Raw genomic sequence first — 24,115 nt, 5'->3', positions numbered from 1 at the left:
CTTATTTTTGCTAAATTATTTTTTCTTTCCTATTCTTTTTCCTCATCTCATTCTTGTTTCTTAAACCCTCAGTGCCCTTTGTCCACCCCTTAGTCTGCTGTAGTTCTATTTGATTGAACTAAAATACCACCTTTTTAATCAAGTTTCTCTTGCCAAAAGGTAGAAACTTCCCATGCTGTCATTCGGTATTTACCACTTCCTAGTGGTTTAGGTACTTTTGTCATGTTTCTATATTTTCTCTAATTAGGCTATAAACTCCTCAGACAGTCCCACTTCATATTGCCACATAATACAAAGCACAATGGTTGTGTATCTGAGGGGTATCTAGAGAAATTAGCATATGCAAAGAGGTAGATGTGGGAGCTGGAGGCTTATCCTACATTTTCTTAATGCAATCACATCAACCAATTGTATCAGGTTCTGAACTCTAGGGTCTTAAAAATAATGAAGAGGCCTATTATTTAGGTCCATTGAGTAAAGACAAACTCCTAGACCCAAATGAGAATATTCGTACTGTTCACATTAAATCTCTTATGGGTCCCCTTATCTTGCCCAACCTTATTTAGGCTGATGCCATCCGAAGTGGAATCTCACTTAGCATTAGTTTATTTAATCTAAGGCACACTCATATCAAGAAGGGTTCAACTGTGATGAGAAAATCTTGCTAGCATTAGTAATTAAAATATTACTATGGTCAGGGTTTTAGGGTTTTCAGATTAATGTAACATAGTTACCTTTGCTGAGTTTACTCTGCTGCACATTTACAAACAAACTGGGCTTTTTGTTCCCTTCTTTTCTCATTTACTAAGGCATATTAACCTCAAATAAGACTTCACGAAATTTCCTAAAGACCTTAGCACATAGTATGTGCTCCGTAATATGTAGTCATTAATTAATTTACACTATTTTTCTTGTTATTTGTTACATATGCATTCAATAGTTCTTATATTACTCACTTGGTGCAAAAATAGAATGAGGGGAGTGGCCAAGATGGCCGACTAGAAGCAGCTAACGTGTGTGTCTCTCACGCAGAGGAAGGGAAGGGGCGAGTAAATACACCTTCAATGGAAACATCCATTGACTCGCATTGGGACTAATCAAGGAAACAGCTTGACCCACGGAGAACAGAGAAAAGCAAGACAAGACGATGGCCGACCTAGGGGCGACATGGAGCCAAGGGAAGCTCCCCACCAACCCAGGGAAGTGGTGAGTGAATGTGTGACCCCGGGATCCCACGCTTCTCCCACGGATCTTTGCAATCCTCAGGTCAGGGGATCCCTTTGTGAACCCTCTCCACCAGGGCCTTCAGTCTGACATAAAGAGTTGCATGGAGTCTCGGCAGAGCAGCAGCTCAGGTACGTGCAGAAACCCAGGAGTTCTAAATTCAGAAACCCAGGAGTTCTACTTCCAGGCATCCTGGCAAAAGTAGCTGCAACTACAGCAAGGCAGGAGGTTAGATCCTGGTACATACCTCTAGGAAACAGGCTGAATCCAGGGGGCTGAGCAGCAAAGGTCTGCAGGCACCACTTCCATGGCACCTCATAGGATAAGACCACTGGCTTGGAATTCCAGCTAGCAAACCAGTGTTGCGCCTCTCTGAGATGGAGCTCCAGGGGGAGGGATGAGCTGCCATCTCTGCTCTTTGTACAATTTAGCCATTACAGCCTTGGGCTTTGGGAGTCCAAACCAACCAGGGGTGAAAGGAATCTCCTAGCACATCACAGCTGCTCTACCGCAGTCTGTTCTACATGGTCAGACTGCTTCTTTAAGTGGGCCCTTAATCCTGTTCCTCCTCACAGGGCAGGACCTCCAAACTGGGATATCCAGCTACCCCTACCAGTGTTCTCCAGCCAACAGGGATCTAAATTCCTCCTGGGACAGAACTCCCAGAGGGAGGGGAAGGCTGTTTGGGTGCCTTAGTCATTTCAGCCTTCAGGCTTCAGAGTGTCCAAGGCAACCTTGGGCTGAAGCAGACCCCCAGCATAGCACAGCTGCAAAAATTTGGCCAGGCTACTTTTTTAAGCCAGTCCTCAATCCTATTCCTCCTAACTGAGTGAGACCTCCCAACTAGGGTCTCCAGCCACCTCCTACAGGTGCATTAGGGCTGGCAACAGGCCCATACCTCCCTGGGACGAAGCTGCCAGAGGGAGGAGCAGGCTGCCATATTTGCTGTTTCTCAGCCTTCACTGGTGACACCTCCAGGTACTGGAAAATCCGAGGCAACTAGGGACTAAAGCGGGCCCCCAGCATAGCACAGAAGCCCTATGGAAAAGTGGCCAGACTGTTACATGGGTACCCATTCCCATATCTCTTCACTGGGCAGGTCCTCCAGGCCTGATCTTCTAGCTACCCCCCTCACCAGAGCTACTGAACAAGTAGCAACCTGGCAACTCCCTGGACAGAGCCTCCAGGGGCACCTGAAAACCTCTCTGCCACTGCCTCTGCAGTGGAACTGTCCTTGCTACCCTCAGACTAACAAAGGAGCAAAGACCCTAAGTGCCTTATCCATACCTCCAAAAAGCTGCAGTTGACCCAAGGAGAGGTGGTGAGTCTGTCTCCCATGGCTCCAACACACCCCCTACTACTTGTCACCAGACAGGGAACCCCTGGCTTACAGCACAGACCCTCCACCATGGGTTGATTGCACTGAACAACTGCTAACCCACATGTCTGTGGGGTGGAACCCCCAGGAAACAAGCAAAGTGGTGGAGCAGCAAGCCAGCTGATGTGCAGATCAGAGGGTTTGGTGCAGGAGCATCCGTAACAGAGTGTGGCCAGGGACAGCCATCCCTCTAGGCTTGACTTGCTCATGTAAGAGACTTTAGCCCTAGGGGAATTATTGGACCCTTGTCTCTGCAAGACAGTCTTGTATATCAGACAGGGCTGTTCTGACCCGAGCACTCTTTGGTCTGCTGGTCTCACCCAGGACTCCAGCCTGGCCACACCTGCTTATGGGGCAGTCTCAATGCCCTGGGGACCTACACCCTAGCTTCTGTGCCAGTAGACTGTGCCTGACCAGTGGAGATCTCCAGCGAGGAGGCCTCTACAGTCACACACCAGCCTGCACATTCCCTCCCCATACTGCAGCTTCCCCAAAGCCCATGGCAACTCCCTACATCACTTTGCTAGCACATGTCTGCCCAGGCAGGTTTTACTTTACTTTCCCCGCCAGCACGCGGAAGTGCAGTATGCCCCCAACCGCCGCTGACCACCATTGCAGATGGAGCTTTGGCGAACACAGAGCCAGCAAGCCCCCACTAGCACCCTGCTCTTCTACTAACACTGACAGGGGATCATCTCACAACTTGAGCAATCACTCCTGCTTGTGGGGCACAGAGAAGGCATCCAGACCTGCATTGGCCAGCACCCTGCCCCAAACCAACACTACCTCCAGTGCAACGGCACACACAGTATCCAGCAGGGGTCCTCCACTCCCCTTACAACTGCCTTGCCTCAGCCAGTGTGGTGAATGTCCACAGAGAGGCAGGAATCCCTGCATTCACTAGCAGTCAGCTGCAGCTGCCACACCTCGGTCCCCCTTGTGCAGTAGACTGCAAAACTCAAGGAGCCAGAGAACAAAGTCAGGGCCCAATACAAGTCCCCCAGAGTTAGAATTAGAAATCAAGACTAAGAAATTCACTCAAAACCATACAATTACATGGAAATTGAATAACCTGCTCCTGAATGACTTTTGGGTAAATAGTGAAATTAAGGAAGAAATCAAGAAGCTCTTTGAAACTAATGAGAACAAAGATACAACATACCTGAATCTCAGGGACACAGCTAAAGCAGTGTTAAGAGGGAAATTTGTAGCACTAAATGTCCACATCAAAAAGCTAGAAAGATCTCAAGTTAACAACCTAACATAAGAGCTAAAAGAACTGGAAAACCAAGAGCAAACAAATCCCAAAGCCAGTAGAAGACAAGAAATAACCCAAATTAGGGCTAAACTGAAGAAGACTGAGACATGAAAAACCATTCAAAATATCAACAAATCCAGGAGATTTTTTTGAAAACATTAATAAAAGACCACTAACTAGACTAATAATGAATAAGATACCATCTCATGCCAGTCAGAATGGTGATTATTAAAATGTCAAGAAACAACAGATGCTGATAAGGCTGGGAAGAATTAGGAACACTTTTACACTGTTGGTGGGAATGTAGATTAGTTCAACCATTGTGGAAGACAGTGTGGCAATTCCTCAAATACCTAGAGGCAGAAACACCATTTGACCCAGCAATCCCGTTGCTGGGTATTATATCCAAGGGAATATAAATAATTCTATTATAAAGATACATGCACATGTATGTTCATTGCAGCACTATTCACAATAGCAAAGACGTAGAATCAACCCAAATGCCCATCAATGATAGACTGGATAAAGAAAATGTGGTACATATACACCATGGAATACTATGCAGCCATAAAAAGGAATGAGATAATATCATTTTCAGGAACATTGATGGAGCTGGAAGCCATTATCCTCAGCAAACTATTGCAGGAACAGAAAATCAAACACCACATGGTCTCACTTACAAGTGAGAGCTGAACAATGAAAACACATGGACACATGGCAGGGGAACAACACATGCTGGGGCCTGTGGGGGGAGTGGGGGAGGGAGAGCACCAGGAAGAATAGCTAATAAATGCTGGGCTTAATTCCTGGGCGATGAGTTGATCTGGGCAGCAAACTACCATGGCACACATTTACCTATGTAACAAACTGGCACATCCTGCACATACCACGGAACTTAAAAGTTGAAGGAAAAAAATAGAAGAAAACACAGAGATCCAAATAAACACAGTCAGAAATGACAAGGTGAATATTATCACCAACTCCACAGAAAAACAAACAACCATCAGAGGATACTATAAACACTTCTACGCACATAAACAAGAAAATCTAGAAAAAATTGATACATTCCTGGACACATATACCCTCTTAAGACTGAACCAGGAAGAAATTGAATCCCTGAACAGACCAATAATGAGCTCTGAAATTGAGGCAGTAATACATAGCCCACCAACCTAAAAAAACTCAGGACTAGACATTCACAGCTGAATTTTACCAGATGTACAAAGAGCTGGTGCCATTCCTACTGAAATTATTTAAAAAAATTGAGATGGGATTTCTACCTAACTCTTTTATGAGGCAAGCAGCATCCTGATACCAAAACCTGGCAGATACAAAAAAAAAAAAAAAGTAAACTTCAGGCAACTATTCTTGATGAACATCAGTACAAAAATCCTCAACAAAATACTGGCAAACCAAATTCAGCAGCACACCAAAAAGCTTATGCACCACGATCTAGTAGGCTTTATTCCTGGGATGCAAGGCTGGTGCAACATACACAAATCAATAAATGTGATTCATCACATAAGCAGAACTAAAGACAAAAGCCACATGATTATCTCAATAGATGCAGAGAAGGCTTTTGATAAAATTCAACATCCATTTATGGTAAAAAAAAAAAAAAAAAAAACTCTCAATAAACTAGGTATTGAAGGAACATACCTCAAAATAATAAGAGTCACATATGACAAATGCACAACCAATATCATACTGAATGGGCAAACGCTGGAAGCATTGCCTTTGAAAACCAGCACAGGACAAGGTTGTCCTCACTTACCACTCCTATTCAACATAGTATTGGAAGTTCTGGCCAGGGCAATCAGGCAAGAGAAAGAAATAAAGGGCATCCAAATAGGAAGAGGGAAAGATAAACTATCCCTGTTTGCAGATGACACGATCCTGTATTTAGAAAACTCCATCATCTCAGCCCAAAAGCTTTTTTTTTTTTTAATTTTCTTTTTTTTTTTATTTTGAGGCTGAGTCTCACTCTGTCACCCAGGCTGGAGTACAATGGAGCGATCTCAGCTCACTGCAACCTCTGCCTCCTGGATTCAAGCGATTCTCCTGCCTCAGCCTCCCAAAAGCTTCTTAAGGAGATAAACAACCTCAACAATGTCTCAGGATACAAAATCAATGTGCAAAAATCACTAGCATTTGGCCAGGCATGGGGGCTCACGCCTGTAATCCCAGCACTTTGGGAGGCCAAGGCGGGCGGATCACCTGAGGTCAGGAGTTCAAGATTAGCTTGGACAACATGGCAAAACCCTGTCTCCACTAAAAATACAAAAAATTAGCCAGGCATGGTGATAAAGAAAATGTAGACTGATAAAGAAAATGTGGTACATATACACCATGGAATACTTTGCAGCCATAACAAAAGAATGAGATCATGTACTTTGCTGGGACATGGACGGAGCTGGAAGTCATTATCTTTAGCAAGCTAAGACGGTCAAAAAATCAAATATTGCATGTTCTCACTTATAAGTGGAGTAAATGATGAGAACACATGGACACGCAGAGGGCAACAATAGACATTGGGGCCTACATGAGGTTGGAGGATGGGAGGAGGGGGAGTATCAAGAAAAATAACTAATGAGTACAGGGCTTAATACATGGGTGATAAATATCTACGTAACAAACCTGCACACGTACCCCTGAACTAAAAATAAAGGTTAAAAAAATAGAATGGAATCCTGACTTTGAAAAGATTATAGTCTAAAAAAGAGGAAAATGATTAAATAATAGCAATTTAAAATTCTAATAGCAAGTCTTTAAAAAGACAAAACATATCTATTTTTTCTTAAACCTTTATCAAGACTTCACATAAAACTGCATTATTTAAATTTACAATTTGATAAGTTTTGACATATATGTATGAATCCATGAAACTATCTCCATAAACAACACACTCATATTCCCAAAAGTTTCCACCTGTTGTTGTGTAAGCCTTTCCTCCCACCCTTTTAAACCCCATCTATCCCACAGACAACCAATGATCTGATTTCTGATGCTACAGATTACTTTCTGTTTTCCAAAATGTTATATAAATGCAATTATGAAGTAGGTATTCTGGCATCTTTCAGTCAGCATAATGACTTTTGGATTTATCCATGTTGTAGCATATGGAGTTCATTTATTTTTATTAATAAGCAATATGTCATTGTATGGATATGCTTGAATTTATTTACTTGCTGATGAACATTTGTGTTTTTAGCTATTACAAATAAAACAACATTTATGAACTCATTTTTTGTACAGAAATGTGCTTTCAAGTGTTTTGGATAACTACTTAGAAATACAATGGCTAGGTTATATGATTCACTTTTAAGAACTCCCAAACTTTTTCCAAGTGGTTCTACCATTTCACAAGCCCACCAGCCCTACATGAGAGTTGTAGTTGCTCTAGGCTGATCAGTGTTTCTAATTTTAGCCATTCTAGTAGGAGTATACTGGTAACTTCTTTTAATTTGCATTTCTCTAATGAATAATAATGCCAAGGAAATTTACATGTGCTTATTTGCCATCCGTACATCTTTTTTGGTAAAGTGTCTGAGCAAATCTTTTGCCAATCTTAAAACTGGCTTATTGTTTGTGTTCTTATGAGCTGTAAAAGTTCTTCATATATTCTAGATATAGATCCTTGTTTGGATATACATTTTGCAAATGTTTTTCCAGTCTATGAAATGCTTTTCATTTTCTTGTCAGTGTGATTATGTGTCTATAGCTAAACACTTGATTCTGTTCCAATGAACTATCATCTATTTTTATACTAGGGTCTGGATCACTGTAGTTTTTTTGTTTTGTTTTTGTTTGTTTGTTTTGAGACGGAGTCTCACTCTGTCGCCCAGGCTGGGGTGCAGTGGCACAATCTCGGCTCACTGCAAGCTCTGCCTCCTGGGTTCATGCCATTCTCCTGCCCAGCCTCCCGAGTAGCTGGGACTACAGGCACCTGCCACCACGCCCAGCTAATTTTTTTATATTTTTCACTGTAGTTTTATAATAAATCTTGAAATCAAGAGGTATAAGTCCCCCAAATTTGGTCTTCTCTTTCAATTATTTTGGCTACTTCAGCAGTTTCTTTTGATGCAAATTTTAGAATTTGTGAATTTCTACCAAAGAAAAAACCTGAATAAATTTTTACTGGAATTGCATTGAATAGATAGACATATTTTTAACTTGGGCTTTCTGGTTTTTTGTTTTTGTTTTCTTAGTGTTGAGGTCTAAGTGTTATTTGTATACTTTGGATACAAGTTCTGTATCAGTTATGTGGTGTAAAAACATTTTCTGTTAGTCTGTGTCTTGCTTTTTGATTCTCTTAACAGTCACCTTTGCAGAACAGAATTTTTTTAAGTTTTGATAAAGTATAATTTATCCATTTTTTTCCATGGATCATGCTTTTGGTGCTGTATATTAAAAAAAAATAATAAAGCTTTGCCAAACCCAAGGTCATGTAGATTTTCTCCTATGTTTTCTCCTAAAAGTCTATTTGTTTGGTGGTTGTTTTGAAATAGGGTCTCACTCTGTCACCCATGCTGGAGTGCAGTGGTGCCATAATAGCTCACTGCAGCCTCAAACTCCTTGGCTCAAGCGATCTTCCCACCTTAGCCTCGCAAGTAATTGGGACTACAGATGTGGGCCACCACGTCTGGCTATTATTTTCTATTTTTTGGGGAGACAGAGTCTCCATATGTTGCTCAGGCTGGTCTCAAGTTCCTGGCCTCAAGTGATCCTCTCATCTTGGCCTCTCAAAGCATTGGGATTGCAGGCATGAGCCACTGCATCTGCCCTCTAAAAGTTTTACAGTACTCATTTTATATTTAGATTACTGATCATATTTTGAGTTATTTTATGAAACATTTAAGTCTCTGTTGAATTCTTTTTTTTTTTGCATTTGGACATCCAATTGTTTAACAGCATTTGTTGAAAAATGAACTGCCTTTGTTCCTTTGTCAAATATCCATTGTCTGTATTTGTATGGATTTGTCTCTGAGCACTCTATCACATTCCATTGATCTATGAGTCTATTTTTTGACAATACCACTCTGCTTGATAACTGTACAACTTTATAGTAAAATGTGAACTGTCAGTCCTCCAACTTTGAAACTGACTCTAAACTTCAATTTCACAATATCCATAAAATAGGATTTTGCCAGGATTTTGATTGGTATTACCATGATCAATTCCTATTAATGTAAGGGGTTGCCTTAATTGATTTTTAAATATAATACTAGTTTTGCATAACTGGAATAAATCCCACTTGGTCCTGGTAAATAACTGTACATTGTTGGATTTGGTTTGCTGAGGATTTTTCTATCTGTGATCATGAGAGAAACTGGTCTGTGGTTTTCTTTTCTTGTAATGTCTCTATCTGGTTTTGGTTTTATGGTAATGCTTGTCTCATAGCAATGAGATAAGAGATGCTCCTTCTGCTTCTATTTTCTTGAGGAGATTGAAGAGAATTCGTATCAATTCTTCCTTAAACCTTTGGTAAAATTCGCCAGTGAAACCATCTGGGCCTGGTGTTTTCTTTCTTGAATTATTGTTCAATTTCTTTAATAGACACAGACGTATTCAGATTATATAATTCTCCCTGTGGGATTTTGGGTATTTCGTGTCTTTTAAGGAATTGGAATATTCTATTCATCACATTTGTGGGCATGGAGTTTTTCATAATATCCCTTTATCATCCTTTGATGTCTATGGAACAATAGGAATGGTCCCTTTTTATTTCTAATATCAGCAATTTGTATGTTCCCTCTTTTTCTGTTTGTGTTTGTTTTGGTTTGGTTAATCTGGCTAAAATTTAACCAAGTTTATTTTTTATTTATTTATTTTTTTTCAAGACGGAGTCTCGCTCTGTCACCCAGGCTGGAGTGCAGCGGCACGATCTTGGCTCACTGCAAGCTCTGCCTCCCAGGTTCAGGCCATTCTCCTGCCTCAGCCTCCCAAGTGGCTGGGACTACAGGCGCCCGCCACCATGCCCGGCTAATTTTTTTGTATTTTTAGTAGAGATGGGGTTTCACCGTGTTAGCCAGGATGGTGTGTACCTCCTGACCTCGTGATCCGCCTACCTCGGCCCCGCAAAGTGCTGGGATTACCGGCGTGAGCCACCGCGCCTGGCCCAAGTTTGTTTATCTTTTTAAACAACCAACATTTGGTTTTATTGATTTACTCCAATATTTTCTGTTTTTAATTTCACTGATTTCCGCACTAATTACTCTAAATTCTTTTCTTCTGCTTCTTTTAGGCCTAAGTTTCTTTCCTTTCTCTGGTCTCCTCAAGTAAAAGTTAGACATGATCTATAAATTATTTAAATAGGGTTGTAAAAGTCTGCAAGTCTAATAGTGGATTTGTCTATTTCTCTTTGCATTCTATACACTTTTGCTTCACATACTTTGATTCATTGTTATTTGGCACAAATATATTAAGGGTTGTTATGTCTCCTTAGATAATTGGCTCCTTTATATTATCCTCTCTATATTATCCTTTTTATTCTTGATAAATTTCTTTTTCTGAAGTCTGCTTTGTCTGAAATTAATATAGCTACTCCAGCCTTCTTCTGATTAGTGCTAGCAGGATCTATCTTTCTCTATCCCTTTACTTTTAATGTATCTGTGTATTTATATTTAAAGCATATTTATTATAGACAACATATAATTGGATTTAATTTTTAGATCCACTCTGACAATTTCTATTTGATAATGTATTTAGACCTGCACATTTACAGTTATTATTTTTATAGAGTTGGTTTATCTACCATGTTTGTAACTGTTTTCTATTTGTTATATTTTTTCTTTTTTCTCCTTTTTGTCTGCCTCTTCTGGTTTTAACTGATCATATTACATGTGTCCATTTTCTCTCCTCTGTTAGCATATCAAATACAAGCATACAGACACACATACACACAAATTTGTGATTGTCATGGAGTTTGCTATATACATAAAGCATTTAAGTTCACTCTCGAATAACATTACAGAGCTTCACACAAAGGATGGAAGGAAGGAATTGGGAATACACTATTCTAAGGTAACTGTACTTATAATCGTGCATTCCCAATTCCTTCCTTCCATTGTTTACTATTATATAAATTTGTCAAAAATAATGTCTGTGTATTGCTCCCCAGATTGCTTATTTCTTCACTGCGTGCTGAGACCCATTCGCTGCAAGACCCACGAGGGCCAAACTCAAAATTTTTACATATCCAGTTATTTTTAAAATAGTCAAACAAGCAGATTTTTAGTCATTGAGAGACTGCTTGCTTTGCATATCCAATGAAACCTCACCTCACATTTGGTGGCCACTGACAAAAGCAAGCCTGTGGTTGTAAGACCCCAAGCTGCTAGGCACTTTGGAGTTTTCTGACCTACAGAATCCCTTCCTTGTTGCTGAGTGACATCACCTGGATAGTAAGTCTTCTCTCCATTTTCCCTCTCCTCAAAATGTTTCCTTGTTCTTCTCCCCTTCTAAGTAGCCACCCCCATGCTGTAATCTTTGGACAGATTCCTGCTATAAGAGGCTTCCCCAGCAAGCAAACCTGTTAAAGTGTTACCCGTTAAAGCTTGTGTGTGCTATTGCGCTCGTGGTAATATAGGTTTCCTAGATCGTCCTCCACATTAGTTGAATCCCTTATATTTTGCATTGCTGTCATTCATTCCACTTATCCATATTCTATAATTACCTAATATATTGTTACTATTATTACTTTGAACAGTAACGTATTAGATCAATTAAGAATTTTAGAAAGAAAAGATTTTATTTTACCTTTATTCCTTCTTAGATGCTCTTTTCTTTATGTAAATTTGTTTCTAATCTGTATCATTTTTCTTCTCTCTGAAGAACTTTTAGTATTTCCTGCAGAAAAGTTCCATTGGCAATGAATTTTCTCAGCTTTTTGTTCGTCTGATAAATACTTTATTTCTCCTTCACTTTTGAAGGATAATTTTGTTGAATATGGAATTCTATATTGGCATGTCTCTCAGTAATTTAAATATTTTACTCTCTTCTTTCTTGCATGATTTCTGAAAAGAAGTCTGGTATAATTCTTATCTTTCTTCTTCTAAAGTGCACACCTGGCTGCTTTTAAGATTTTCTTTTTTCTTTAGTTTTCTGCAGTTTAATACAATATACTTAGGTGTAAAATCGGGAGGTTTTATCCTTGTTTGTGCTTTCTAAGGTTAAGTCTCTACTGACATATCTTCAAGCTCACTTATTCTTTCTTTGGTCAGGTATAGTTTACTAACAATCCCACCAAAATATGTCTGTTACAGTGCTTTTTTTTATTTCTAACATTTTCTTTTGATTTTTTTGTTAGTATTTTTAGCTGTCTCTTTACATTACTTATCTGTTCTCGCATGTTCTCTATTTTACCGTTATAGTTCTTAACATATTAATCAGAGTTATTTTAAATTCTGTTATCCTTCTTGGCCTTTTGGCTAAGATCAACTGAAATTCTGTCTGATAATTCCAAAATCCATGCCATATCTGAGTCTGGATGTGATGCTTAATTTGTCTTTTCGTGCTATGCTTTTGCTTGCTTTTTAGCACACTTCATAATTTTTCAGTTGAAAACCATTTAGTACATAACATGTAATATGATCCGAGGTAAATAGGCCTTTAATGACAGGTCTTATGCTTATCTGGCGAGATAGGCCTTGTTTAATGTTTGCTATAGCTGCAGATGCCAGAGCCTTCAATTTCCTCTTGTGTTCTTGTAAATTGGCTCCTATTCTGTCTTTGGGTTTCCCTAAAAATGCTCTTAAATAAGAGTCTGAGCCTTGCAGTTCTTTCAGTGTCATCCATTGTTATTTTATTTTATTTTAATTAATTAATTTAGAAAAGGAGTTTTACTCTTGTTGCCCAGGCTGGAGTGCAATGGCATGATCTCGGCTCACTGCAACCTGGGACGCCTGGGTTCAAGCGATTCTCCTGCCTTAGCCTCCTGAGTGCTGGGATTACAGGTGTGAGCCACCACACCTGGTTTATCCATTGTTATTTTATATGGGAGGCTTGTTGTGATGGTAAGGTATGGAGAAGGGGGAAGCAGTCCGTCATCCTATGATTAAGTCTCAGTCTTTAAGTGGGCCTGTGTCACTAGTGTGATCTTCACAAGGGTTTCTCAGCTTCCCCCCCTCCTCCCTTAGGTATGAGAGAAACGCTTACAGAAGGGTGAAGTTGTGTAATTTCTATTCCCCCACCTCAGATAACGTTCTGGTAAAGTCTTTTCTCTTGCTGAGCAGACCTTTAGAACAAAGTATTATGGCCGTATCTCAAAAGTTTTACTTATTTCCTCCCCTGCCAGAAACATGAAGGTTTTTCATGGCTCTTCATCATGAGTACCTCCAAGTAAAATCCACAAAAATGCAGGCTTCCCAGATGTTTCTCACTCTCAGACTAGACCATATTCAGCCTCCAGGGAGTCATCAGTTAGTATTTTTAGTCTTCCTCTCAGTTTAGGCCTCCAGTAGCTTCTGTTCCATTTGGGCTGTGACTCCCTGTGTTTACGTGTATTCACCTCCAGATTTCTGGTGGCAGTCTGCCTTGAGACCTCAATTATCTCATGGGCCCAAGAAATTCAATGATTTTCAGTTTGTTCAGCTATTTCCTGTTGAAAGGTCAGGAATAAAAGTTTCAACCTCTTTATGTGTCAAAGCTGAAAATAAAAGTCCCCTTGATTTATTTTTGAATGTTAAAACAATCTTGCATTTCAGGGATAAAGCCCATTTATTTATGATGCAGTATCATTTTTATATATTGCAGGATTGGATTTGTGAATAATTTTTCATTTATGTTCATAACAGACACTAGTTTGTAGTTTCCTTTTCTTGTAATGTTTTCTCTTGTCTTGATATCATCGTAATATGGCTTCACAGGTTTAGTTGAAAAGTATGATCTCTTCAATTTTCTGAAGGGTTTTTATATGGAATCAGTACTATTTCCTCTTGAAATGTTTTGTAGAATTCACCAATGAAGTCATCTCAGTCTGGAGTTTTCTTTGTAGGAAGTGCTCAGCTATAAATTCAATTACTTTCATACATATAAGGCTATCCAAGTAATCTATTTCCTCATGAATATGCTTTCATAGCGTATATCTTTCAGTAAAGTCCATTTCATTAAAGTTCTTGAACTTATTGGCATGAAGTTGTTCACAATCATTCATTATTATTGTAGAATATTTATAAATATTAGCCTTCATTTTTTCATACTGGTAAATTTGTTCCCTCTCTCCCTCCTCTCTCTGTCTCTCTCTCTCATTTGTTTCCTGATATGTCTGGCTGGAGATTTATCATTATATTGAAATTCACAAAGAACCAGCTTGTGGTTTCATTGATTTTTATCTACTACTCTTTTTTTTTTGCTTACTTTTTTTCCTTTGATTTCTACTCTTTTATTATTTCTTTCTTTTGCATACATTGAGTTTAATTTTCTCTTTTTGTTTCTATTATCATTAGGTGGAAGCCAGAGCCATTGATTTGAGACCTTTCTCCTTTTCTATACAGGTAGTTAGTGCCATAAACTTCTGTTTTACTTTAGGTGCCTTGTAAACATTTTAATATAATACGTTGTCATTTTCTTTCAGTTCAAAATACTTTGTAAGTCCTCTTTTGATTTCTTATTTGAAGTAGGACATATTTACAAGTATTTAATATCATTTCCAAATAGCTTATATCACACAGACCTCTTTGATATTGATTTCTAACTTAATTCCTTTGTAGTCAGAGAATAGAGTTTGTATGATTTGAATTATTTCAATTTATTGAGACTTGTTTTATGACCCAGAACAAGGTTTATCTAGGTAAAATTTTAAAGTACACTGGTAAAAAATGTAAATAAATAATTATTTGGCTGTCTTTTGTGGAATGTTCTATAATTTTTAATTATGTCTAATTGGTTGATGGTATTGTTTAAGCCTTCTATATCCTTAATAATTTTCTGCTTGTTCTATCAATCATTGAAAGATGAATGTTGTAATATTTTACTCTAATGGTGCCTGTTTCTCCTTGTCATGCTACCAGATTTTGTTTCATGCGTTTTCAAGCTTTATTATTAGGTGCACATACATTTAGAATTATTATGTCTACTTGATGAATTGAACCCATTGTCTATGGAAAATTCCCTCTTTATCCTCAGTAATATTGTTTTCTCTGAAATCTACTTTGCCTGGTGTTTTTTTTGTTTTTTGGGTTTTTTTTTTTTTTTTGAGGCAGAGTCTCGCTCTTTCACCCAGGCTGGAGTGCAGTGGCACAATCTCGGCTCACTGCAAGCTCCGCCTCCCGGGTTCATGCCATTCTCCTGTCTCAGCCTCCCAAGTAGCTGGGACTACAGGCGCCTGCCACCATGCCCGGCTAATTTTTTTGTATTTTTAGTAGAGATGGGGTTTCACCATGTTAGCCAGGATAGTCTTGATCTCCTGACCTCATGATCCACCCGCCTCAGCCTCCCAAAGTGCTTTGCCTGGCATTAATATAGCCATCCAAGTTTCCTTTTTATTAAAGTTAGCATGACCTATATTTATCAATCTTTTTTCTTTTAACCCATTTCTGTTTTAATATTTAAAGTTAGCTTCTTTTTTTTTGAGATGGAGTTTCACTCTTGTTGCCCAAGCTGGAGTGCAACGGCACTATCTTGGCTCACTGCAACCTCCGCCTCCCGGGTTCAAACAATTCTCCTGCCTCAGACTCCCAAGTAGCTGTGATTACAGGCACACACCACCACACTCGGCTAATTTTTTGTATTTTTTTTTTTTTTTTTTTTTTTTTTTAGTAGAAACAGGGTTTCACCATGTTAGCCAGGCTGGTCTCAAACTCCTGACTTCAGGTGATCTGCCCGCCTCGGCCTCCCAAAGTGCTAGGATTACTGGTGTGAACCACCACACCCAACCTAAAGTTAGCTTCTTACTGGTAACATGTATTTGGGTCTTCATTTTTTGTTCAACCTAAAAATCCTTACCTTTTGCTTGGGTTAGGTTGTTTAGGCAATTTATTTAATATGATTATTGTGATAATGGTGTTTAAATCTACCCTCTTGATATGTTACTGTTTTGTTTTTTTCCATTTGTTAGTTGTTTCCCCTTTTTCCTTCTTTTTTTGCCTTTATCTCTGCCTTTTTGGTTTAAGAGCTGTAATTGTACTTTTGGTTTTTGAGTCACTGCTTTAAGGTTTATAATACACAATTTTAACTTATTATAGTCTATTCTCAAGTAATATACCACTTTGCATATAGCAGTGTACTTTCATTTCTCCCTTCCTAGAATTTTGGCTTTTGTGGTGTCAAAAAACAAAATTTCAAAAATTGATTTTTGAAGATCTAATTGACTTTTATTAGCTATTCATGAACCAGGCAGCATCCAGTCTATAAGCAGACATAAGCCCCACCGGGAATGGCAGAACAGTAGATTTTTGTAGGGACCTTGATCAGGAACAAGGAAACAATATAGTAGAAAAAGCAGATTGGTTAATATCAAGTTACTTCAGATTACTTTCCTAGTGTGGGTTAAGGCAGGAAGGGTTCCTAATCATGCTGGTTCAGGTTGCCTGGGTCTCTTTTGATTGGTTGCATGAATCTTTTGCTTTTTGGAAAACTAGCCTGTTTTTAAGTTCAATTTGGTTATGTGGTGCCTAGCACCAGTGACTCCATTCTGGTCTGCTGGAGCTTAGTGCAGGAGCTCAATCCAAAACAGTGGCCTCCCACAAATTTTATTTAGAGTTGAAATACATTTTATTTTTACATATATTATAAGCACCACTATACAATCCTATTGGTTTGCTTTAAATAGTCAACTACTTAATAAAGATGTTTTAAAATATTTTTTAAAATTTTATATTTCCTCTCATATTTAGCATTTCTAGTGCTGTTCATTTCTTAATGTGAATCCAGATTCCATTTGATATCATTTTCCTTCCGCCTGGAGAACTTCCTTTACTATTTCTTGTAGTGCATATTGACTGGGGATAAATTATTTTTTTTTAATGTATGTAAACCTTTTATTTTATCTTCCTATCTCAAATATATTTTTGCTAGTTGTAGAATTCTAAGATAATCATTGCCTCCTCCCAACACTTTAAAAACTTTGATCCTTTGTCTGCTGGTTTGCTTTGTTTCTGACAAGAAGCCTCTTTTCATTTTTACCTGTATTCTTTTATACCCACTGTGCCTTTCTTATCTGGCTGCTTTTATGATTTTCTCTTTATCACTTATTTTAAATAATTTGATCATGATGGGTCTTCATGTAATTTTATTCTAGTGTCTTGTGCTTGGAGTTTGTTGAATTTCTTGGATCTGTAGACTTACAGTTTTCATCAAATTTGGAAAATTGCAGATTATTATTTCTTCTAATTTTTTTTTCTTCTCTTTCTTCTCTTTTGGGATTTCAATTATACATAGAGTAAGCTGTCTGAAGTTATCCTACCACTCACCAGCATGCCATTCTGTCTCTCTTTCATTTTTGATACATTCTATGATTATGTCTTCAAGATCACTAATCTAACCTTCTGCAATGCATAATCTGATAATCTCAGTATATTTTTATTTCTAGGAATTGTATTTAGATCTTTCTAAAAACATCTATATCTCTGCTTAACATGCTAAACCTTTATCCTCTTGACTATTTAAATGCCTTTACTACTAATTCTATTATCTGTGTCATTTCTGGGTCTTTTTATTAATTTCTTCATTATGAATTGTAATTTATTTGTATTCCTGTTAATTTTTTATTAAATGACACACATTATGAATTTTACTTTTTGAGTGCTGTATCTTTTAATTCCTATAAATATTCTTAAACTTTATTATGGGATACAGTTAAATTACTTGGAATTATTTATTTTCCTCTCCAATCTTGCTTTTTAAGCTTTGTTTTGCTGTAACTAGAGCTTAAATACTCTGTTCAATGCCTCGAGAATTATGAGATTTTTCTTTCTGGCTATGAGGCATGTGAAATATTCCTGACCTTATGCAAGCTGCAAGGATTTTTTCCCTCTGCTTGTCTGATACAGCTTTGTTCTTGGCCTCAAGTAGTTTCCTCACATACATGTGCTGATCACTACTCAGCTAATGACTGAACAAGTGCCTTCTGCAAATTGATGGGACTCTCTCCATGTATCTATTTTCTCTTCCTTACCCTGTCTTTTTAAAGTATAACTACTTTGGCCTCCTAGGAATCCCAGCTTCATTTTTTTTATTCGGGAACACTGTTGGGTTCTGCCTATATTTTTCTCTCTTAAGTTGCAGCCTGGAAACTCTCTCCAAGAAGTAAGTCAAGGATAATTTTAGGACTGACACTATTTCTGCTCTCAGTAGCCATTATCCTGGCTGCTTAACATCCAATGCATAAATGTGGTCCCTTATGCCCAACACATTTCTCTTTATCTCTTTATTCATAAAGTTAGGGTCAGGTTGTTATAAAATCTATCTCATTTTTTAATGTTCTACAGCCTGGTAATGGATACACCAGAACTTGGCTTGGAGAGAGATTTTCCCATCTCACCTTCATTAGAATCCTACCACTACTCTTTGATATGGACAATTAATCTATTCCCCATCTCATTTAAATAACTAGCTAAAAGCAGTTCTGCGATAAAACTACCTCATAGCACTGCCCTACTACCTCTACTTTTCTCCCAACATCCTAACATTCCAACAAGAGATTGTCCATGAGGTCCTCTCATATAAGAATTCTAGCACTTTCTCCTCCACCTTGTGTGGGAAACCTTCCTTAGTCTTGGGTAAGCCACCTGGATGATATGTGATTTATATTTAAAGGTGTAAAGCAATTAGTTCAACCATTGTGAAAAGCAGTATGATGATTCCTCAGAGAGCTAAAAGCAGAGCTGTCACTCGACCCAGCAATCTCATTGCTGAGTATCTACCCAGGAAAATATAAATCATTATACCATAAAGACACATGTGCACAGTATGCATTGCAGCACTATTCACAATAGCAAAGACGTGGAGTCAACCTACATGCCTATCAGTGACAGACTGGATAAAGAAAATGTGGTACATATATACCATAGAATACTATAAAACCATAAAAGAGAAGAAGATTATGTCTTTTGCAGGAACATGAATGGAGCTGGAGGCTATTATCCTTAGCAAACTAACACAGGAACAGAAAACCAAATGCTGCCTGTTCTCACTTATAAGTGGGGGCAAAATGATTAGAACTAATGAACACAAAGAAGGAAATAACAGACACTGGGGTCTGCTTGATGGGGGAGGGTGGGAGGAGGGAGAGGAGCAGAAAAGGTAACTATTTGGTACTGGGCTTAATACCGGAGTGATGAAATAATCTGTAAAACCCCCGTGATACAAGTTTACCTATGTAACAAACCTTCACATGTACCCTCGAACCTAAAATAAAAGTTAAAAAATAAACAAATAAATAAAGTTGTAGAGCCAGTGCCAGTAGATGATCCATTGATCTTGGGTGTAGAGTGTTGCTAAGGGAAATGTAATCTGTTAACACCTTTCTTACATGAGCTGCTTGGAAAACAGTGAATTGAATGTAAAGAGATTCTTTGCAATTGTGTAAATAGCCTTATTTGATTTCTGTAGTGATGTGATTAACAAGTGCCTGCTTTACGACTAGATGGTTACTTTTGTTTTCCTTAGTATTCATTAACATAAAGAGAGGCTGAAACCTAAAGGACAGCAGAATGTCTTTTCACTTCAAGAATGACTTCCAAACAAAATACATAAACTGATTTTACCCTTGAGTCTTACTTCATGTGATATGATGAAAAAATTAACACCCAGACTTAGAAAATTGTTGTAAACAAAGGAGCTATCTTTTAATTTTTCTAATTTAAAAAGAAGTAAGGAAGAAATTAGAGAAAAAGATTAAGGATGAGCAAGCTTCACTCTAGAGGAGTCATAAGCCTTGCAGGTGGTCATTATGCAGGGTTTCAGAACATTTTGGGGTCCAGGTAATCATGTCATTGCTGGATTTGTGTAGTCCACAATTTTCCCAAAAGAGAATGCTTGTCTCCTCATTTGCTTCAGCTGTTTTCAAATAGGCATATCCTCAGTGCTAATACATTTCTGATTTTAGAAGTTCCTATTTGGATTTGAACCTGGATCCTACTGTCCAAGTTTCACCTACACTTAACACTTTTCTTTCTAGGAGATAAAATGCTATCTGATTTCATGACTTAACTATATGCTCTTTGGGAACAGCTACCTTTTCTCATAAACATCTTTGCTGCTTGCAGTGCCTACCAAGTCCTTTGCATATAGCTGAATTATTAGTATCCAAATGATTTTATGTCAAGTTTGAAATTACTTGACTTTAGCTTCAATTTTTGCTAATTTTTAAATATACGTGTGTTTTAACAGCAAAGTAGCACGTCTGTGTGTGTGTGTGTGTGTGTGTACTTGATAAATAAGCAGATGAAGAGTGTGTCATGTATCTTCAATTTGATCCTATAGATCCACTTTCTACCCATCTCCAAAATGTTCTTCACCCGGTAGGGCTGCCTGTTTGGGTTATATCACCAGGTTCCTCCTATGCCCCTCCGGCTTCTTTGTGGGTTTGGGTAATGGGGCACATCAGCAGGAGACAGGAGAAAGGTTCCAGGCACCCACATATGGAAAACTGAGGTAAAAATTGTGTATGTGAGGGAGGAGAGTAGGTCCTATGGGTGCTATGAGGAAGAAGAAAACCCCTTACAGGTATTCTCTAGAATGTCCTACTTCATCACTAGGCATTACTACAATATCTTGGGAAAATTTCAAAGCTAGTAACAGAGAGATTGTCTGCCTGAAGCCTGCATCAGGATACATGTAAGACAGACCAGTCAAGCAATGGAAAAGTGACAATTTTCCATCTATTCTGGGTATCCTACCATGATGAGCTTAAGTTCCAGGAAGGAAACTGAAGAAGACTTTCTTTTACCAAGTTTTGTTGGAGGGGTTTAATAAACTTGTTAAAGAAGCACTGTCCAACATTAAATATACTATCCAAAGACTTTCTGAAAACTAATCTATGTGTCATAATTGCATACTGTGTAGACATTTTCATTGTCAATCAAATAAAAATGTATTTCTTAGGTTACCTTTAGAGATCTCAGAATAAAAAGACTCTTGCGAACCCAACAGAGTATATGTAACAACATGGAACAAAAACATTAAGGTCAAGGAAGACCATACGAACAACTCAAAAAAAAAGCTACATGAAAACCTAAACTAATTCAAGTATTCTCTAAGACAAATAAAAATGTGGGAGAGGAGCAGGGGTAATCAGAAACAGAAATCTTGTGATGATGGTAACAAGGAAAATAGGTGAAGGTCTTACGAATTGGTGGAGGACCCTTAATCCCTGAGACCCATGAGTCTGGATTAGGGGCAAAAGACTGGCCTAGAGATGCCCTACATCATTTCTTGCTGTGGAAAAGCAGAGAAAATCTGGATACCAGATACAAGTATCTGGATAACCACCTCATCAGGAAACACACACACACACACACACACATGGGAGGAAACAGCCATAGCCAATTGTAATTGGGCATTCCCCATGGCTCTCATCTTAGACAGGACCAATTATGACAATCTAGTTTAGTCTCTAATAGCAGTGATGAATGCCAACTTGAAATAGTTATTAATGGCTACCTGGAAGGGGAACTTGATAACCAGAAAGCCTGTCCAGGCCAGTGGGAATAGTGTCATTCTGAATTAGGGACATCTGCCAAGAATAAAAAGCAGGTCTTTGGTGGTGTTTTCCCTTGATAAACATGCTATAGTATTTCCGTATATTAACTGCCAGGGAAAGGGGGAAGAATTTCATTTAAATGTGTGGATATGTCTTCACTTTGCTGTTGAAATTCATTTAGATAAGAAGGAATAGAGTTTTTGATAAACCTCTCCAAGCAGTGGCTCTTCTACTGCAGTCCCTGTCCCACCAGGAGCTCTCTATGTGCCCACTTAGTAGGCATCTTCACTCTTACATGTTGTTCCTTTCCCAGACTTGTGGTTTTATTTGACACTTAAATGGAATGAAAGAGGCAAAAGGAAGAGAAGGCGACTGCAAGGATGAGAAAGGAAGAAAGAAGGTTTGCAATACACATGTATATAAGATAAATGCTTTCACATAATATCTCATTTTATTATTCCACTTTATGCATTATAGTATTTTTCACTTCAAAAATGACAAAATTAAAGATCAGATAACTTATCTATAATTCCCAAGATCAATGGGTTGACAAATGAGAGCTCAGGGACTAGAACTCATTTGTTGTGTTATTTTCCCCTATTACTCCACAGCCAACATTTTTTCTCCTGTATTATATTGCCACATTTTTTACACTCAATATGACCTCCTTCTGTTTCTCTTTTTCACTCCTCATTTTACCCAAGCTCCACTTTTGCAAATTAAGGTGCCGTGAGAAAATGTTGGGCAAGCTTCAGATTGGAACTAAGACTGATATGGTTTGGCTGTGTCCCCACCCAAATCTCATCTTGAATTGTACTCCTGTAATTCCCATGTGCTGTGGGAGGGACCCAGTGGGAGATAATTGAATCATGGGGGCAGTTTCCCGCATACTCTTCTCGTGGTAGTGAATAAGTCTCACAAAATCTGATGGTTTTATAAGGGGTTTTCACTTTTGCTTCTTTCTCATTCTCTCTTGCCTCTGCCATGTAAGAAGTGCCGTTTGCCTTCTGCCATGATTGTGAGGCCTCCCCACCATGTGGAACTGTGAATCCATTAAACCTATTTTTCTTCCCAGTCTCGGGTATGTCTTTATCAGCAGCATGAAAATAGACTAATACAAAGACTTAGCTTGTAATTCAAGAGTGTACTATCTTATTCCCTTTATTCTTTCACCCTGATGGGAAGCATTAATGTTCAGATTCCATACAAGTACGTCTGAAGTATTGCAAAGCAGTATGAAAAGACATTATATGGAAATCCAACCAGATTCAATAATTAATAAAAATGGGGGCTCTATTAATAAAGGTAGAATATTTAAAATGGGAAAAAGAGTAAGTTCTACCTTCTTTCCTACAGGTCTGGCCATGCCTGAGAATGACGTTGTATTAAGAATCTCTCTTTAAGATGAAAAGAGACAACTTAGCATCTAGTGAAAAATGACCAGATGAGTTAAGACTTGGAAGTCATGTTATATATGAGAAAAATAATATTATAATAATAATAAATAGCCTAGGGATTTTTAAGCTATAAGACAGATATCATGAAAATTAAAAATAAGTATCTTAAAGTATGTAAAAGGGCCTAATGTGGGAGAGGGAATTGACTTGTTATGTTAAAACAAAGTATACCATGAAATAATGGGGTGAGGACACAAACATACTAAGGTGTCTGAGAGGTTTAAAGATCCTTCATTAAGTAGAGAGCTCCCTGTCCCCACAGACAGTCAAGTAGAGACTGAACTAACATTCAACCATTCTATTGCAGAAGGGAATTTAAGCATCAGAAGGTAGATAACCTGTAGATCTTTCTTTCAACACTGAGTTTCTAGGGCTCTTTATGGTCCTTACTACCGTTAATGATATGTTGTGGCAGGAATTCTTCCCAGCATAGGGTTGGAAAAATTGCTTATTTATATCCACTGCCAATTACTTAGGAGCATCCTGCACACAGTACTTGCCCAATAATTGTTTTTTTTTTTTAAGTCAAAATGCTAAAGTTCCCTGCATAAGGCGCAAATGTTCTATATAGAATATAGTACATAAACTTTCAGGGGGAAAAAATCACTTAGTTACATGGCAGCAGAGTGTGCTCTCCAGTGGGACTCTCTCCAGCTGAGTTGTGACCACCTGCCAGTCGTAGGTGAAAATGTGCTATTATTCACAAAAAGACCACAAACCTAGTGAGTTTCTCAGCATGCCAAGAACCTGGTAAATTAGTTCTGAATACTGAGGAACTGCATTTCCTTAATTTGCCTATCACTTAAACCTTCTTCTGTCACACTGTAAACCTAGGAGAAAAAACACACTTTCTCCAGTATCTCAGTTCCCACTGGACTGAGATCAGAGAGAAAAGTGAATAGCAAGGTGAGGGGGAATGATACTTAAGACAGAAATCTGAATGTAGCAGAAGAAGGAAAAACCAGTTCATCCCAATTAAAAAAATTTCTTTAATGTGTAATTTCCTTCTTTTTACTTGCAGGCAGTTTTCTGAAGGTGCACATTTAGCTTTCAGGGTAAACGTAAAGCTTGAAGCTGCAGCTCTGCACTGAAGCTACTGTTATTGTGGCATAAATTAAATAAGGGAAACATGGAGATTGATTTGGTTTTCTCCTGGA

The sequence above is a fragment of the Homo sapiens genome, chromosome 15 (genome assembly GCF_000001405.40).
Source record: "Homo sapiens chromosome 15, GRCh38.p14 Primary Assembly".
In the NCBI taxonomy this organism is placed as follows: domain Eukaryota; kingdom Metazoa; phylum Chordata; class Mammalia; order Primates; family Hominidae; genus Homo; species Homo sapiens.
Note: the sequence above shows the minus strand (reverse complement) of the source record.